At 38.9% G+C, this 19,907-nt stretch overlaps 1 long non-coding RNA gene across 1 annotated transcript in view; it reads left to right on the top strand.

Moving 5' to 3' along the window:
- The window catches only part of LOC101927960 (uncharacterized), a 282,946-nt gene that overhangs the window by 22,535 nt on the left and 240,504 nt on the right, over positions 1-19,907 (top strand). Inside the window, exon 2 of the long non-coding RNA NR_136588.1 lies at positions 6,837-6,991. This is a non-coding gene — a long non-coding RNA (uncharacterized LOC101927960). The remainder of the gene's footprint in view (positions 1-6,836; positions 6,992-19,907) is intronic.

Here is a 19,907-nt window from a genome sequence, read left to right on the forward strand (position 1 = left end):
ATATTACAAAATTATAAAGTAAAAAGAAAGTTAATTAAAAAGTTAATAGAAAAGTCATGACATAAAAGAAAATAAAAAGGAGGGATGAAATTGGGATTGAGATTGAAGGGAGACCCCAAATTTGACTTTCCAATGCTAGAAGCCAATGGAAAGAGTGATGCTAATGTGTATACACAGAAAAATTTCTCTCTTGGATGCTTATAAAGGGATACTATGTGATTCATTCATTCCAAAAATATATTTAAGTGACTACTATATGTCAAGCACTGTTTTGCATGTTAGGGATATGACAGTGAACAAAAGCAAGGAGTTTCTGCTCTCATGAAGTTTATATTCTATCACAAAGCAGCAGATTAAAAAAGTTTGTGTGTGTCAAATGGTGATAAGCCTATGAAGAAAAAAGAAAGGGACTGGACGCGGTGGCTCACGCCTGTAATCCCAGCACTTTGGGAGGCGAGGGTGGGTGGATCACTTGAGGTCAGGAGTTCAAGACCAGCCTGGCCAACATGGTGAAACCCTGTCTCTACTAAAAATACAAAAATTAGCCAAACTTAGTGACGCGTGCTGGTAATTCCAGCTACTAGGGAGGCTGAGGCGGGAGAATTGCTTGAACCCAGGAGGCGGAGGTTGCAGTGAGCCGCGATTGCACCACTGCACTGCAGCCTGGGCAACAGAACAATACTCTGTCATAAATAAATAAATAAATAAATAAATAAATAAATAAATAAATAAAAAAAAAAGAAAGGCAGAGAAATGGGAGAGAGGAGGATGGGTAGATAAGAAACTGGTAGTTAGCAAAGGTTTCTCTGATGATATAACAGGTTTTCAACCCATGCTGAAAAACACGAGGGATTAAGTTATGTGGTTTTTAAGGCAAAAATCTTTCCAGTCCAAGGAAAAAGCAAGTACAAAGGCCTTGAGGTAAGAGCATGCCTGGTGTGTACTTTGAACAGTAATAAGACCAGTGAGGATGTAGAGAAGGAGAGTGAAAGACTTTGTTCTGAATTACATAAAAAGCCATTTGGAAGGGTTAGATAAGGAAATGATATGATCTAACTTATAATCTAAAAGGATCACCTTGGCTGCTGTGTTGAGATTATACTTAAGGGAGTAAGTGCAAACAGGCAGATCAGTTATGGTTCTAGAAAAATAATCGGACAAGAGGACATGTTGGCTTAGATCAAAGAGGTAGCAGGCAAGGTGGTTGGATTCTGAATATTCTTTGTATATAGAGCCAAGAAATTGGGTGTGGCATAGATGAGAAAGAGAAGTGTCGGGGATGACCTAAAGATTTTGGCTTGAGCCTCTGGAAGACAGAGATGCCATTGATGGGGAGATGGGGGAAAATTGGGAAGGAAGAAACTTCTTAAAGGTTTGAGATAGTAAGTTTGAAATGCCGATTAGACGTCTAAGTGGACATTTGATGGAGACAGATGATTACCTAAGTTTGAAGGTCAGGAGGGAGATCAAAGCTAGAGATATATACTTGGAAATCATCAATAAGTACATTCTCTTTAAAGTATGGGGCCAAAGGAAATTAGTGCATGTGGATAGTTAAGGGAAGAGGCCCTATGACTGAGATCCTGTGGCAACTTAAAATTTGGAGGAAGTGGGCAACCATAGAGCAAGTTGAAAACTAAGAACTAAGACACTTGGGCCCCCTCAAAGTTATTTGAAAATTGTTGATATGAGGCAGATAGATTAACAGGAGAAAAGGCATACAAATTTATTTGTATGCACAGGAGACTTCAGAATGAAGACCCACTTCTGTGGGGAGGTGAAGAAGCTCATATAGAATCTCAAGGTTCTGGAAAGAATGGGGAATTAGAGCATGGCCCAAACAGGTTTCAATGGCAAGACATTTCATGGGAGGGAGAAAGGAAGAGGCTTGGCTAGCATAGGTGGCCTTGTTATATAGATGAAGCCTCATAGGTAGTAGTCCTCAGAGAGAATAGATGGTAAATGCTTCTTTCCAGATTCTCAGTTAATCTTTTCTAGATCCAGAAATGGCCTAGAAGAGGAAGGCCTGGCTGCCCTAAGAGGGATTCACTATAGATGCAAATTTCCCCCACCTGAGTCTGCTGGCCCTGTGGCAGCCATTTCAATATATGTCACAGAAATATATGTTGGGGTAAAATGTTTTGATTTCCTTCAGAATTGACCATTGTATTGGTCAAGTGGAGGTTATAGTCACTGGTGACATTGACAAGAACACTTGCATTGGAAGTACGTGGATACAATTTTGATTGGGGTGAGTTTAAGAGAACAGATGGAGAGGAAATAGAAACAGCAAGTAGAAAAAATTGTTTTAAAGATTTTTGCTTTACATAGAGCAGAAAAATGAAGGAGTATTTGGTGGGGGAATGGGTGGACAAAGAAAGGTTTTCCTTTTCAAAATAAGAGATTTTATACCATTTGTACTGAAAGCAATCATGCAGTGGAAATGAAAAAATAATGGAAGAAATGAAAGAACACATTAAAACAATTTCAGGAAGTAAATGCTGCCTCCTCACTCCTCCTTTGAGTAAATATAGCAGAAAATTTTATGAAGATGTTCTTGTCACATCACTCGGTTTATGTTGGTAGTAAAGCACCAAAACTCGTTTTTATGAAAGTGGATAGATGTAATTGTGCAGCTAGCCACAAAACTTTGCACAGGTCTGGTTAACTCAGGAATAGATTTTCATGTAGCTGGATGAATACATGCACAGGTGCAAATTCTCCAGGCAATCCCCCCTACATTTTAAATTCTTTCCTAATTGAGCCTTTGATAATCTATAAGGGATACGGAGTTGAAAGTTGTCCTCCAGGTTCTTCTAGTATACTTACAGGAATCACCCCTTTAGTGCTGCAGACAGCTGAAATCACTGTCAGCACTAAGAGAGTTCCTGAAGCCACCCACCTGGCATTTATTCCCCCAATTTATGAGGGGTCTTTCTTCCATTATAACCAAAAGGAAGGCAGGAATATGTATAAGAAGGTTGCTGAATTTGGTTTGGGAAGATGATGTAGTTGTTGTCTGGTAAGTACTATTTTTTTCAGTGAAATTAGAAGCAAGGCATCAGTAAGAGTAAGACAAAAAGGAAGGGTGAGATAGAAACTTTCAAATTATCATCTCAGAAAGAAACTCAGCTCATTTGGATTATATACTAGGCTTGCTAAATCAGTGCTACGTGTCTGTTTGAGGTTTGTGGTCATGCACTAAAAGACGAGAAAATCTTTTTCTCCAGCCATGTTCAGTTGCTTGGGTACAGCTATGGTGAACCACACAGCTACTGAGATTTCACCAGGGTGGATTTTTAAAGTCCAAATATGATAGAGAAGAGAGAGAAAGTTAGGAGTGAATGTGAAGAAGAGAGTATAGCAACAAACCGTAAAATCTCAGCTGGGTAAGGAAGAATGCATAAACAAAAACAAAAGAGTGGCTTTAGTGCTAGGGCTTTGCGTAAAAATGGAGTTAAAAATTGCAGAAATAGTGGTCACTAGAGAAAATAATATTAAAAATTTGAAGAATTTCAAAATTTCAGAATAGGACTTTAAAGAACTTCTTTGCAGCAACAAAGCAGGGGCATGCTCATCACCTGCAGATCATAACCACCACACCTGACTTTCCCATATGTGCCATTATAACCTTGATATTCTCTGAGAACTGGCTTGTGTTCGGAAAAGAAGTATAGGAAATCTAGTGATTCTCATCAGGAGAGGGGAGGTGGAATGTGGGGTTATAAATTCTTGAAGTGCAAAACAGCTCTTTTAAAAAAGTGCTAATAAATTACATTTAAAAGAAGTCAAGGGCCTGCCTGGCGTGGTGGCTCATGCCTGTAATCCCAGCACTTTGGGAGGCCGAGGCGGGCAGATCACCTGAGGTCAGGAGTTTGAGACCAGCCTGACCAACATGGAGAAACCCCATCTCTACTAAAAATACAAAATTAGCTGGGCGTGGTGGCGCATGCCTATAATCCCAGCTACTCAGAAGGCTGAGGCAGGAGAATTGCTTGAACCTGGGAGGCGGAGGTTGAGGTGAGCCGAGATCATGCCATTGCAATCCAGCGTAAGCAAAGAGAGCGAGACTCCACCTCAAAAAAAAAAAAAAAAAAAAAGAGAAAAGTCAGGGTGTTTGTCCTGTGAAACATTTGTTGAGCCTCTAACTTTCCTTCAATAACTTTGTAAGAGTAGTGCTGTCAAGACAGAGGGGCTGATGTCTCATTCACGGGATGCCCACATCAAGATTTGAGAGGAAGTGTAGTTATTTGTGAAGATGAGGTCTAGGTATGACCGCAAATGGATGATTAAGCTTAAAAACAATAGGTAGAGGCTTGAGATTCTGTACAACCTCCATGGGGATGCTCAAGGCATAAGAATAACAACAGGAGGATGGTAAAAAAGAAGCCATTGAGACAAGGGCAAAAACCAAAATAGACAAAATCAGTAGTTGACAAAAAGAGGGGTAGGGAATAGCATAGTCTGGTGCATGTGCTTGAATTGAGCTGGATGTTTGAGGAAGAAGGAAAGAAAAATGATCCAGAAGCATCACTGAGCCTTCAGAAAGATTTCCCATTCCAGCTCACAGGAGCTGAGGTGTGAGAGGAAAGCAGGCTTCCTTTGTGAGAGCTGCAGGGTATATATTATTATTAAGGACATGGCAGGTTTCAGGCAAAGCAAGGAAGACAAACGTTGGGAGAAACGGATCTAATTAAGATACTTTGCTGGTGAAAGACTTGAGTTCCAGAGGGCAGAAGAAGCATAGAGGGCTGGATAAAAGGCTTTGGTTTTCCCTGTTGGAGTCAGCTGGAGAAGGAAAGTTTCAACTTATCTGTTCTTCTCACTTCTGCGGGTACTGTGGAGAGCAGGCATGTGATGTAGGATGAAACCAACTTTCCCCACCACTTTGTCCATGCATCAAGCCTACACAAGCTCTTCTCAGCATTCCTGGCCTTTTGGTCTTCTTTTCTGGGTTTTCCCATGCTTGTCTCTAGGATTCACCAAGTCCAGAGGGGAGAACTTCTTGCATCTACTGTCTGTCGAGCTCCACCTGAACCGGAGGCTCCACCCATATCTGGCTGCTGTTAGTAGCAATTTCTGCTTAGCTCAGGAGGGACAGATACTGTGGGGTGATGAATGGGGGCGGCGGGGAGGTTGGACATATTCAAGCTTCCTCCCCCGCATATTTATTTTCTCCTCCTAACTTCACCTCTTTTCTAGGAACTCTATTTCATTCCACAAATGGCCAAATAGTTTACTATTCTCAGAAACTTAACAGTTTACCTTTCAAAGCAACTTGAAGTTTAAATAAATAAATAATTGTCATGTAACCTTGAACAAAGAGGCTGGAGACAGGAATCAGGATAAATGATGTCCCCTGGAATGCTGAAATAGAAACCCAAAGAGTAGAGGATCAGAATATATAAATTGGCAAACCATAGAAGAAACACCCATAGCCAATTAATGTAAGAACATATGTGCCTCGTGAATAATAAAAGTATGTAATTTAAAATTTTGTTTCACAGATTGATAACAATGCTGACAACTGTATGGAGAAGACAGCTCATAGTCTCATATGCTGTTGGTGGTAGTGGGTAGGGTTTTCAGATTTTAGGATGGCAGTCTGGAATTATCCATAAAGTTTGTGGCAGAGGCTGCTCTGAGACCACTGCTAACTCATATTGTTACTGAGAAGTTTGGTAATCCTGGGTTCTTAGTCGTTTTGAGAGAAAGATTTCAGCCAAGAGACAGTTCAGAGATAGCAGAGGGCTTTGTTGAAGAGAAATAGGAAGCAAAGAGTTTATTGTGGAAAAAAAATGAGTGTACTGCAGAAGAGGAGCGGCTGACACTGCAGGGAAAGAGCCTCCCAGCCGTAGCGGTGTTCATTTAAAGGGACAGTACACTCTGAAAGACGAGGTAGAGCGGGCTGCTGAAAGAGAATGCCAGCAGACCCACGAGTTCTGTGTTGAGGATTTCATTATAATGGACTCTTTCTTGAAGTTCCCACCTCTGTCTTAAGTCTCCTACTTTTCTCTTTGTCTAGTTCTTCTGCTTCTGCCTTGCATCCCTGCTTTTCCCTACCTGGTTCCCGCTCCAGGGTAGTGGGATTCTCCCTTACTGTCAGTTGATGTGCCGGCCTGGTGTTAGGTGTGAATTCTACTTAACGTCTGTGTTGTGCATTCCCACCACCCCAGGAAGGTTGTATAGTGGTCACATCCATACTCACTGCGCCTGGCCTGTGTATCACTTAGGAATTTCTCCTTTGCCTTCTTTCCCTCCTTAGCAGCACGCAGCTAGCTACCTTCTGACACGTTAACTGCAGAGTGAGCAATACTGGGTATCTTCAGGGGCGCTCCTTCTTGCATAGGTATTTCCCTTCCTCTCTGCTCCTATCTTCCGCGCATGTTTTGGGTGGTCTCTGGGGTGTGAGATTTTCCAGATCTCCCTTTTTCTCAGAGGCTCCCCCTCCTGTTCATGTATAGTTAACTGCGTACTCTAACAATGTGAGAACTTTATGTGGACAAGAAAAATGGTCCTTCTTCAAGATATTTTATGGCCTTTACCAGAAATTTATGATACTCATGGTATGAACAGTGCCCCTAGAATTGTATACTGCACAACCACAGGCAGTAAGCTTGAGCTGCTGGTTGGTCACTCCCAATACTCTCAACTCTAATCTTGTAACTGCCTCTCATATCTCTTCCAGCTTCTCTATAGGTAGAATTAGACACAAGACCCAGTTCTGCCCAAAGAGAGATAAGAGAGTGTCTGCTGGGGACTTCTTTACTGGTAAAAAGCATATGTCACAACAAAAAGAGCTCATTTTGTCACTCTCATCTCCTACTTGCTTCCAGATTGGGAGGCTGCTGTGTATGGATAAGATACCTGCTACAGCCAGCTTGACACCATGAGAAGGACAAGAGAATTGCAGAGACACATATCCAGGATTCTGATCCAGTTGAGGCACTGAAATAATCTAGAACCACCTTCAAATTTCTTATAAAGAGAGGTAAGTAATTAATATTGTTTTGTGTGTAACATGTTTAGTTGTGACTGAAAGTATCCCAACTGATCTTGGTATCCCAACACCAATAATTTATTATATGGGAATCTTTGCAAACAATATAGGTGCAAAGATGTTCACTGTAGCATTATTTGTAATAACAAGAAAATATAAAGAAGCAAAATAGTCAACAATAGGGAACTGGTTAACTATTCTACTTAGTCATTCACCAGAATTAGACAATTCTATATACTAACATGGAAGATATTTAGGACACATTGCTATTTTTATTTTTTTTAAATAAGGAAGCAGCCCAGGCACAGTTGGCCTGTAATGCCAGCAGTTTGGGAGGCCAAGTCAGGCAGATTGCTAAGCCCAGGAGTTTGAGGACAGCCTGGGCGATATGGTGGAACCCAGTCTCTACAAAAAATACAAAAATTATCCAGGCTTGGTGGTGTGCACCTGTAGTCCTAGCTACTTAGGAGGTGGAGGTGGGAGGATCCTTTGAACCCCGGGAGGTTGCAGTGAGCCTAGATTGTGCCACTGCACTCCAGCCTGGGCAACAGAGTGAGATTATGTCTGAAAAAAAAAAGTGAATAAAAATAAAGAAGTTAAACAATTTTAAACATTGTACTTCACCTTCATTTTGTAAAAATTGGGCTCATGCATATTTAAATTATGATAAATGAAGAGAGTAGGGAGGGAGAATTTGCTCCTGGGCAGCAAAAGCAGCACCTAGCCTAGGACCTGGGCATTTTCCAGGCAAAACTACATTTGCCCAGTGAATACCAGAAAAGCAAAACTATTAGCAACTATAATGCTGATCTTTGGAAAATGCACGACAGTCACATATTTCCTGTGTATACACATATACATGCACATATATAGTGAAGATGGCAAAAAACAATAGCACACTTATAAAAATTATATTTTTCAGAGATGATAGTCTGCTAATTTCAATAAAGTGTAAATATAAGTGTGTCTTATGGTATAATAAATTTTAAAATAACATCAACATTTATGTCAACTTCTAAACTTTAAAAATTAACTTTTGGAAGGGAGGCAGAGCAGAGCAAGATAGCCAAATAGAAACCTCCACCAATCATTCTCCTTGTAGAAACACCAAATTAAACAACTATCCTTATAGAAAAGCACCATCATAAGAATAAAAAATCAGGTGAGTGATCACAGTACCTGGTTTTAATTTCATATCCCTGAAAGAGGCACTGAGAGGAGAGGAAAGACAGTTTTGAATTGCCTATACCACCCCCTCCCCAATTCCCTGAGAGCAACCAGCTGGTATGAAGAGAGAATCTGTGTGCTTGGGGGAGGTAGAGTGAAGTGATTGTGGGACTTGGTGTTGGAACTCAGTGTTGCCCTGTCACAGTGGAAAGCAACACCAGGCTGAACTCAGCCATTGCCCACAGAGGGAGCATTTAAACTAAACCTAGCCAGAGGGAAATTGCCCATCCCAGTGGTTGGAAGCTGAGTTCTGGCAAGTCTCACCACTGCAGTCCAAAGTGCTCTAGGATTCTAAATAAACTTGAAAGGTAGCCTGAGCCACAAGGACTGCAATTCCTGGGCAAGAACTTGTGCTCTGCTGAGCTTGGAGCCAGTAGTCTTGGGGGGGCATGTGACCTAGTAACATATCAACCAGAGTAGTCAAGGAAGTGTTTTGTGTCACCCACTTCTAAAAGCAGCAAGAGAAAAGAAACAACATAAAATGGAGCTCTAATACATCTGGCAGTAGACTTCTCAGTGGAAACTTCACAGTCCAGGAAAGAGTGCATGACGTATTTAAAGTGCTGAAGGAAAATACTTTTATGCTGCAGTAGCATATACGGCAAAATTTTATTTCAAACACGAAGGAGAAATAGACTTTCTCAGACAAACAAAAGCTGATGGATTTCATCGACACCTGTCCTGCAAGAAATGCTGAAGAGAATTCTTCAATTAGAAAGAAAAGGACATTTACGAGCAATAAGAAATCATCTGAAAGTACAAAACTCACTGGTAATAGTAAGTACACAGAAAAACACAGAATATTATAACACTGTAATTGTGCTGTGTAAACCACTCATATCTTAAGTAGAAAGGCTAAAAGATAAACCAATAAAAAATAATATCTACAACAACTTTTCAAGACGTAGTACAAAAATAGAAACAACAAAAAGTTAAAAAGTGACAGGACGAATTTAAAGTGTAGAGTTTTTATTAGTTTTTCCTCTGCTTTCTTGTTTATGCAATCTGTATTAAGTTGTTATCAGTTTAAAATAATGGCTTATAAGATATTATATGCAAGCCTCATGGTAACCTCAAATAAAAAAATAACAAATATACAATAAATAAAAAGCAAGAAATGAAAACATACCACCAGACAAAATCACCTTCATTAAAATGAAGATAGGAAGGAAGGAAAGAAGAAAGAGAAGATTACAAAACAACCAGAAAACAAATAATAAAATGGCTGGAGTAAGTTCTTACTTATCAATAATAACATTGAATGTAAGTGGACTAAACTCTCCAATTAAAAGACAGACTGGCAAAATGCATAAGAAAACAAGACCTAATGTCTGTTTGTTGCCTGCAAGAAACACAGTTCACCTATAAAGACACACATAGACTGAAAGTAAAGAGATGGAAAAAGATATCCCATGCAAATGGGAATGAAAAAAAAACAGGAGTAGCTATATTTTTATCAGACAAAATAGATTTCAGGACAAAAACTATGAAAAGAGACAAACAAGGTCATTATATAGTGATAAAGGGGTCAATTCTGCAAGAGGATATAACAATTGTAAATATATATGTGCTTAACACTGGAGCACCCAGATGTATAAAACATATTAGAGTTAAAGGGATAGATAGAGCCCAAACAATAAGAGCTGGAGACTTCAATACCCCGTTTCCATCATTAGACAGAGCATTCAGATGGAAAACCAACAGAGAAACAACAGACTTAATCTGCACTATAGACCAAATGGACCCAATAGATATTTACAGAACACTTCATCCAACAGCTGCAGAATACGTATTCTTTCCCTTAGCACATGGATGATTCTCAAGGATAGACCATGTGTTAGATCACAAAAGAAGTCTTAAAACATTCAAAAAATTGAAATAATATAAAGCATCTGGAATAAAACTAGAAATCAATAACGGGCAAAATCTACAAACACATGGAAATTAAAGAATATACTCCTAAGTGACTCATGGGTCAATGAAGAAATTGAAGAGGAAATTAAAAATTTTCTTCAAAGAAATGAAATGAAAACACAACATACCCAAACCTACAGGATACAGCAAAAGCACCACTAAGAGGGAAGTTTATAGCTATTAGTGCCTACATCAAAAAAAGAGAAAAACTTCAAATAAACAACCTAATGATGCATCTTAAAGAATTAGAATAGCAAGAGCAAACCAAACCCAAAATTAGCAGAAGAAAAGAAATAACAAAGATCACAGTAGAAATAAATGGAACTGAAATGATAAAAACAATACAAAAGATCAACAAAATAAAAAGTTGTTTTTTTAAAAAAAGATAAACAAAATAGAGAAACTTTCTCTAGACTAAGAAAAAAAGAGAGAAGACCCAAGTAAATAAAATCAGAGATGAAAAATGAGACAATACAACTGATACTGCAGAAACTCAAAGATCATTAGTGGCTACTATGAGCAACTATATGCCAATAAATTGGAAAATCTAGAAGAAATGGACAAATTCCTAGACTTACACAATCTACCAAGATTGAAACATGAAGAAATCCAAAACCTGAAAAAAACAATGACAAGCATGACACCAAAGCTGTAATAAAATGTGCCCCAGTAAAGTAAAGCTCAGGACCTGATGGCTTCACTACTGAATTCTACCAAACATTCAAAGAAGAACTAATACCAATTCTACTCAAACTATTCTGAAAAATATAGGAGGAGGGAATACTTTCAAACTCATTCTATGAGGCCAGTATTACCCTGATACCAAAACCAGATGATGACACATCCAAAAAAGAAAACTGCAGGCCAATATATCTGATGAATATTGATGCAAAAATCCTCAATAAAATATTAGCAAACTGAATTCAATAATACATTAAAAAGATAATTTATTATTACCAAGTGGGATTTATCCCAGGGATGCAAAGATGGTTCAGTATATGCAAATCAATCAATGTGATACATTATATTAATAGAAAGAAGGACAAAAACCATATGATCACAGAAACCATATGATTGGTTTCATCAATTGATGCTGAAAAAGCATTTGATAAAATTCAACATCCTTTCATGGTGAAAACCTCAAAACACTGGACACAGAAGGAACCATACTGCAACATAATACAAGCTATATATGACAGACCCACAGCTAGTATCATACTGAATGGGGAAAAATTAAAAAAATTTCTTCTAAGATCTGGAACATGACAAGGATACCCAATTTCACCACTGTTATTCAACACAGTACTGGAAGTCCTAGCTAGAGCAATCTGACAAGAGAAAGAAATAAAGGGAATCCAGATACAAAAGGAAGAAGTCAAATTATCCTTGTTTGCAGATGATATGATCTTATATTTGGAAAAACCTAAACACTCTACAAAAAATTATTAGAACTGATAAACGAATTCAGTAAATTTGAAGATAACAAACTCAACATACAAAAATCAGTAGCATTTCTATATGCCAACAGTGAACAAAATGAAAAAGAAATAAAAATTAATTGCATTTACAATGCCACAAATAAAATTAAATACCTAGGAATTAACCAAAGAAGTGACAGATGTTTACAATTAAAACTATAAAACACTAATGAAAGAGATTGAAGAGAACACCACAAAATGGAAAGATATTCTATGTTCATGGATTGGAAGGATATTGTTAAAATGTTCATACTACCCAAAGCGGTCTACAGATTCAATGCAATCCCTATCAAAATACCGATAGCATTCTTTGCATAAATAGAAAAAAAATCCTAAAACTTATATAGAACCACAAAAGACCCAGAATAGCCAAAGCTATCATAAGCAAAAAGAACAAAACTGGAGGAATTACGTTACCTGACTTCAAATTATACTACAGAGCTATAGTAATCAAAACAGCATGGTACTGGAATAAAAACAGACACATAGATCAGTGGAACAGAATAGAGACCCCAGAGGTAAATCCACACACCTACAGTGAACTCATTTTTGACAAAGTTGTCAAAAACATACAGTGGGGAAAAGACAGTCTGTTTAGTAAATGGTGCTGGGAAAACTTCCTTCCTTCCTTTCTTCCTTCTTTTCTTTCCCACTTTTTTACCTGCCATCTTTGCAGCTGTACTGGGAATAAATTAATAAGAAGATTAAGGTCTGCTGCTTGCCATTCCATAGACACAATCTAATGAAGTGTTTAGTATAAGCACAGTGATCATCACCTTATATTCTGCACAATGAGAAAGTAAATCATCTTTGATCAGAATTATGCCCTGGCTTCAGTGTTGCATTTAAGGAAATGCATCGTTACTCACATCTCTTGAAGAACATTAAAGGTTTGCATTGCTCTAATGACCAGTGATGTTGAGCTTTTTAAAAATATGATTATTGGCTGCATGTATATCATCTTTTGAAAAGTGTTCCTGTCCTTTGCCCACTTTTTTATGTTTTTTTTTTTCTTGTAAATTTGTTTAAGTTCCTTATAGATGCTGGATATTAGACCTTTGTTGGATGCATAGTTTACAAAATTTTTCTCCCATTCTGTAGGTTGTCAGTTTACTCTGTGGATAGTTTCTTTGCTGTGTACAGAAACTCTTAACTTTAATTAGATACCATTTGTTAATTTTTGCTTTTGTTGCAATTGCTTTTGGTGTCTTTCTCATGAAATCTTTGCCTGTGCCAATGTCTTAAATGGTATTGCCTAGGTTGTCTTCCAGGATTTTTATAGTTTTGGGTTTTACATTTAAGTCTTTAATCCATCTTGACTTTATTTTTGTATGTGGTCTAAGGAAGGGTTCCAGTTTTAATCCCCTTCCTCCACCATGTCTAACACCAGTCAAAATGGCTATTACTAAAAAGTCCAGGCCAGGCGCGGTAGCTCACACCTGTAATCCCAGCACTTCAGGAGGCCGAGGTGGGTAGATTGCTTGAGCTCAGGAGTTCGAAACCAGCTTGGCCAACTTGATGAAACCCCATATCTATTAAAAATACGAAAATTAGCCAGGCATGGTTGTGCATGCCTGTAGTCCCAGATACTTGGGAGGCTGTAACAGGAGAATCACTTGAACCCAGGAGGCGGAGGTTGCAGTGAGCTGAGATTGCACCACTGCACTGCAGCATGAGTGACAGAGCGAGACTCTGTCTAAAAAAAAAAAAAAAAAAAAGGTGAGGTTGTGGAGAAAAAGGAATGCTGATATACTATTTGTGGGAGTGTAAATTAGTTCAACCATTGTGGCAGTATGGTGATTCCTCAAAGACCTAAAGACAGAACTATCATTTGACCCAGCAATCCCATTACTGGGTATATACCCAAAAGAATATAAGTCATTCTATTATAAAGACACATGCACACATATGTTCTTTGCAGCACTGTTCACAATAGCAAAGACGTGGAATCAACCTGAATGCCCATCAATGATAGACTGAATAAAGAAAATGTGGTACATATATACCATGGAATACTATACAGCCATAAAAAGAATGAGATCGTCCAGGCTTGGTGGCTCACACCTGTGATCCCAGCACTTTGGGAGGCTGAGGCAGGCAGATCACCTGATGTCAGGAGTTTGAGACCAGCCTGGCCAACATGGTGAAACCCAGTCTCTACTAAAAACACAAAATTAGCTGGGTGTGGTGGCGGGCACCTGTAATCCCAGCTACTTGGGAGGTGAGGCAGGAAAATCACTTGAACCCAGGAGGCGGAGGTTGCAGTGAGCTGAGATCGCGCCACTGCATTCCACCCTGGGCAAAAAGAAGTGAAACCCCATCTCAGAAAAAAAAAAAAAGAAAAAATGAGATAATACTCTTTGGAGGGACATGGATTGAACTGGAGGCCATTATCCTTAGCAAAGTAACACAGGAAAAAAAACAAATACTGCCTGTCCTCACTTATAAGTGGGAGCTAAATATTGAGAACACATAGACACATAGAGGAGAACAACACACAATGGGGCCTTTTGGAGGGTAGAGGATGGGAGGAGGAAGAGGATCAGGAAAAATAACGAATGGGTGCTAGACTTAATACCTGGGATGAAATAATCTGTGCAACAAACCCCTCATGGTGCAAGTTGACTTTTGTAACAAACCTGCACATGTTCCGGGGCACATGTACCCCTGAATTTAAAGTAAAAGTTAAAACAAAACAAAAAGAATATTAAAGGTGTCCCATCTTCAGCAGTCCCTCCTGAAATCCCTTTTCCTCATCATAGCCTCTCACCTCCTGAGGCTGCTGTGAAAGATGCCTCTCTTTCAGAATACTTTCTGTTAATTCTCTTCCCCCATGCTTGGGAGCTCAGCCATGACATTTAGCCTTTTTCCTCCCTCTCTCGGCTCTCTGCACTCCACAGTTCTATCTCTTTCTTCCTCTTTCCCATATTCTGCATTACAAATGTCAGAACCAGGGAAGAACTGTAGGATTCTCTTTGCACAGTCAGGGATGTGAGAAACTGCACAAAGATAAAATTCTCACAATTATTGCCTTTTGCACAGATAATTGCCAGCGTCTTCATCAAGTAGAATGCAGAATCTCAGCCTAGATTAAGCATAAATCAGTGTCAGAAATGAAATCAGAGCTCCAGAGGGTGGCTCTCTGACAGAAGAATTTGAGGAGCCCTTTTTCCTGGCAGTTTACAAAGAGATGCTGGACCTGAGGTATTATTAGTCTGGTGAGAAGAGCTCTTGACAGCTCATAATAATATTAATCAGCAAACAGCACTCCCCAAACAGGTCTTTGGTCTTAGGGAAAAGAACATTGAAGTGTTTATGAGTCTTGCTTATTAGGTTTTGAGGTTTTTGTTGGTTCCTCTCTTGGCAGTAACCTGAATGCTTGTAAAATCCCATGTGTAGCAGAGAACTCTGGGCATTTAGACAACTGTCCGCAGGTGCATCATGATTCACACTTTAACTGAATACCACTTGCTAGGTAAATGCTGTAATAGAAAGTTAAAAAGAATAAATTAGCTGTAAATTCTTGGTATTTTCAGATTCCTGGGATACCCCCTACAGTTGCATAATCATAGGGTGTTTTGTATTTATTTCAAACTACTAATCATTTACACACATGATTCCAGATTGTAAATAACAGATTTGATTGTGCCATTATCTCTTCCATTTCTCTCTAAATTCTTGTTTTAGCAATCAAACTCCTTTCAAAATAAAAATTAGTAGGAACCCCAGAGTATAAAACAGGTAAGAGCAAATGAATATGATTCCATAGTTTAATTAATCCTATTTGGGTGAAAATAATCACTGTTTAAATAACCTTAAAAGAGAAGAAACACACTTTGAAACCCTGTTTGCTTTGTAAGTATGTATGTCCGTAATATTTTTATGACCTGAACTTATTTTCTACATTTCTTTTTGCACAGTCCTTAAATTTATACAACAGATGATAAGAAAGGCACAAGAAAATTTTCAGTTTTAGTCATAGCAGATATGTAGTTAAAAACCTGAGGTCCCAGTCCCACGTCTGCCACATACTTGTTGTCTGACTTTGGAGGTTCATTTAACAACTCTGGGCAAGGCTGCGCTCATGCAAAGCACCCTGGAGCGTGCACTTGCCCAGCTTTCTGGCGGGAGAGGCCCTGGCCACAGTGTGTGATGGGAGCTTTTGGAGCCAGACAGATCTGCTGCATCAATACTTGATTGCTACATTTACTGGTTGTGATACATAACCGATAGCTTTCGGTGTATCAAAACCCATTGTGAAAAAGAACATTTTCCCCTGGTTATTCTGTTTACAGACCAGCTTAGTTCTGCTGTTTTCAAAATATTTTATTTTTGAAAATTGGTTCACTGAATCCTTGCTGCAGATGTTTGCCTAATTTGTGATCATATTGCATAAACCATTTAAAAAACTACTTTATAACTCAGATTCTTGTTTTATTTCCCAAAGAAGCTTAGGACAGGAATATTTTGAGGCAGAATTTAAAAACCACATATGTTGACCTATGTGCTTTTAAAAAAATAGCCATACTTTTTTCCTGGATTTTAAAAGACTGATATATTTTACATAAATAAGCCCCACTTACTAATTACATTTATCCCCCCAAAAAGGAGCAAATTCACCTTAATCATGCCAGTAGCCCTATGCTCACATACTCTCCAGCAAAAGAGAAGGGATTTCTAGTTGGAGTCGAGCCACCGATTAGCCTTGGTTTACAGTGAGCATGGTCTCTGTGTTACACATCTGCATGGTGCATTCCTGTTTTAGACAGCACCTGATTCCTCAGGGAAGGATGCCCATTTGGTTGTGACATATCTCCCATTTATTGCAGCAGAATTGTTAAAGGGAGTTGGCCCCCGTGTTTTGGAGGCCAGGGTATCTTTCTCTCTCTGTCCTCATGGGTATTTATGGAAATACCACGTGAACTCCATTTCCATTCCCATAATTTACAGCTGGGGAGGAAGGATGACTTGAGTGTGTAAATTTTCTATTCTCAGCCCTGCTACAGGCTTCAGGAGGCCAAATCTACAAATCCTACCACTTGGGCTTCTGGTTGGGTTTAGTCAATGGGAAGCACTGATAGGAGGTTGCTTCCAGCCTTCGTAGGAACAAAGACAATTTGGCCAGATTGGCCATAGTTTGGGCACTGGCTGAATTTCCTCCAACTGCAGTCAGACAGTCTCTTTTTAAAAAGTTCTAGTTCTCATTAAATTCTGGTAATACCCATTCTTTCCCTTGGCCTATCAGGCCTATGTGTGGCAGGAGCTTCCTATGGTTGCTAGTCCCTGGGTGTTTCACTTTCCCTTGTTTCCTTAACTTTGTCCATACCTATGTAGATAGTCCCTTAATTCAACATAGTTCAACCTTTTGTATTTATACTAGCTTCCTGCTAGGACTATGGTTGATAAAGTAATGAAGTTAGCTTATGCTTTTAGGATAAACCCATACATTCTAATGCAATTTTAACTGAGAGTCAGTCTCTGAAGCATTTGTACTGCCATTAATAACATACTGCTTAGATTTCCTAGTAAAGGAGGAAAAATTTGCAGGGGTGAATTCAGGCATTCCTGCATTTCTGGCAAAAGAAATATCCTAGTACTGAGAAATGAGAAAATATTACCATAGTACCTCTGTAGTCTCTGAACTGTGCACATTTCCTGGCACATACCAGACTCAGTAAATAATTGTTAAATGAGTTTATTTTGAGTGAATGCAGAAAATATTGCACTTATCATGCTCATATAAAACATTTAACTTTGTATATTTTTACTCAATAGTAAGTGCAGTAATTTCTTATGTTATTACAGAAAACAACACATACTTAATGGATATATAATAGTTCAAAATACGTATCTTAGATGGCAAAATAGATCATCCCTCTTCATTCTCTTTGCTAAAGGGAGAAATGGTTTTCTTACCCATTTTAGTAAAGGAAAAAAACCTCCACTTTTCTTTGATAGTTGCTTAATGTGTGGGTGTCAGAGACCAAGCAGACAATATACCAGTGGTGCAATTTCAACTCTAACCATTTTCTGCCATTAGTATGCCAGCCTTCCCCATTAAAAATCCGAAGCAGAAAGCCATATTATCTGTATGTCACTTTCAAACATAAACACTTAGTAGAATGGTTGTTAGGTTCCATATCTGTGAAATGTGTTTGTATAAGTGACTTATTGTCTTTGCATGAAGTGGCTGGACAAAGGGATGCCTGGTTGAGGAAACTAGCTGTAGGAAGGATATTTCTGCACATCACTGCTTTAGCTATGTAAATCCTGGGCTTGGCGAACCTTGGCTAACCTAGTGGGCATGAGTAGGCCCAGGTGAACCTAATGTACAGAAATGACATTTATGCAGCACCTGGCCAGTCTATAACTTCTAATTCTATTCCCAATGCCTGGAATTTCATTTTGATAACACTGATTCTTGGAGTGTGGTGCCAGGACCGGCAGTATCAGCATCACCAGGAAACTTTCTGGAAGTACAAAATTTGTAGCCCCATTGCTGAATGAGAATTTCTGTGGATGAGGCCCAGTAATCTGTGTGTTAAGAAGCCATATAGGGGACTCTGATGCTAAAGTTTGAGAACCACTGGCTTAGGGCACTGATATTTATTATACATGTATTCATTAATGTGAATGTGCAAATTCAGAGTAGGTTTCATGGGAGATGGAGGGAAGTAACAGAAGGGATCTTATCCTGAAGTGGGAAGGCCCTAATGAGCTAGGAAAGAGTAGACTTTGTTTTACGTATTGGTTTATTTTATGTACTTCAGTGAAAGCAGTCAAGCCTAGAAACATCTGATACTATAGTGAATTTAAAATGGTCCTTTGCTAGGCAGGCAGTGAAAAATGAGATGGGGAGGGACTACAGATTCTGGGAAGGGAATGTTAGTTAACATGTATGCATTCAGGCATCGGGCTCTGTGACATCCACCCCTTCTAAGGCAGGAAGATCTGTGAGTCGCTCAATCCTTTCTAGACTCTCTAGACCCAGCCCGGCTAAACTGGCTCAAGATTGCTTTTCTTCCCCAAGCAGTCTCTGCAAATGTCCATGAAACCTTGGTGTTATAGGAATCTACTCTGATGCTGTAGGGTCAACACCAAGGCAAAATATTATATGGAGAAAGATGACTATAGTAGAATCTACAGAAAATTCACTCCTTTATGTGCCTTGGGTGATGGAGTGCTCCTTATCTCCAACCCTGGGAAAAGAGAACAAAGCTGAATAGCGCTTGAAAATCTCCAGGTTTGAGCCATTAAAGAAATCACCCTCTCTGTGTGCCCTTATCTTAAAGGATATAGATCCTCAGAAAAAGTGCCATATTATTAACAATTACATCTAATAGTTATAATTATTTTACAGCAGTAATTGTAATTATAATCAGAGATGGTTAATAGCCTCCTGAGGTCCATTGAGCAATGCTTTTCAATCTCATATGTGCATGAGAAGTACCTGGGATCTTGTTACAATGCAGATTCAGTACATCTGGATTGGGACCCATGTTGATGCCAATGAGGCTGAGTCCCCTGACCATAACATAACACACTGTGAGTAGCAAGGATATGGAGAAAAAGAATTACATCACATTGCTTTCCCAGCAGAAAAGAATGGAGTGTAAACGTCATTAGTTTCTACAACTGGCAAGAAGATATTGTCTTTGACTCTCACAATTTCTCTGGCAAAAGAACTTTGTAATGAGTATTAGGACTTCGATGATACCACATGAGCAGGATATGCGGGATAATTTGTACTGCAATTCTGCATGGCAACCACAGAATAAATGGACATGTCTGTTCTATTTTAGATTCAAAACCAGAAATCACTTGTGATTAATGGTGGAATAATAAGCTTTTATTATAAATTGTAGAAGCTTAAGTTCTCAAGCTGGCTTTTCTCCTGCAGGGCTCTTGCAGGAGCAATCTGTTAGTCAAAGCTGTAGGACAGCAATTAAAGGGGCATTCGTTATAGCCCATGTATGCTAGAAAGCAGCAAGACAATGATACTTGCCAAACGTCTGGGAAATTAGGTCAGCACTTGCAGATTAAATTCAACAGTGCCTGCTGGACTAAAGTCCTGATTGCCAATTAAGATCTAATGCTGACACTTACTAGCTATTGAGAATTAGAGGGGATGAAGAACTTCTAAAAATTGAGTGGCTAACACTGTTCTTGAATCCTGATAGAATATTATCCATTTGCTTTTTAGTATCTGTGACAATCAAATCAATTTTTCTCCTTTTGTATTTTACTTATGATTCTATTTTTGATGTAAAACAGATATATCTGCAGTT

This window comes from Homo sapiens, chromosome 2 (genome assembly GCF_000001405.40).
Source record: "Homo sapiens chromosome 2, GRCh38.p14 Primary Assembly".
Lineage (NCBI taxonomy): Eukaryota > Metazoa > Chordata > Mammalia > Primates > Hominidae > Homo > Homo sapiens.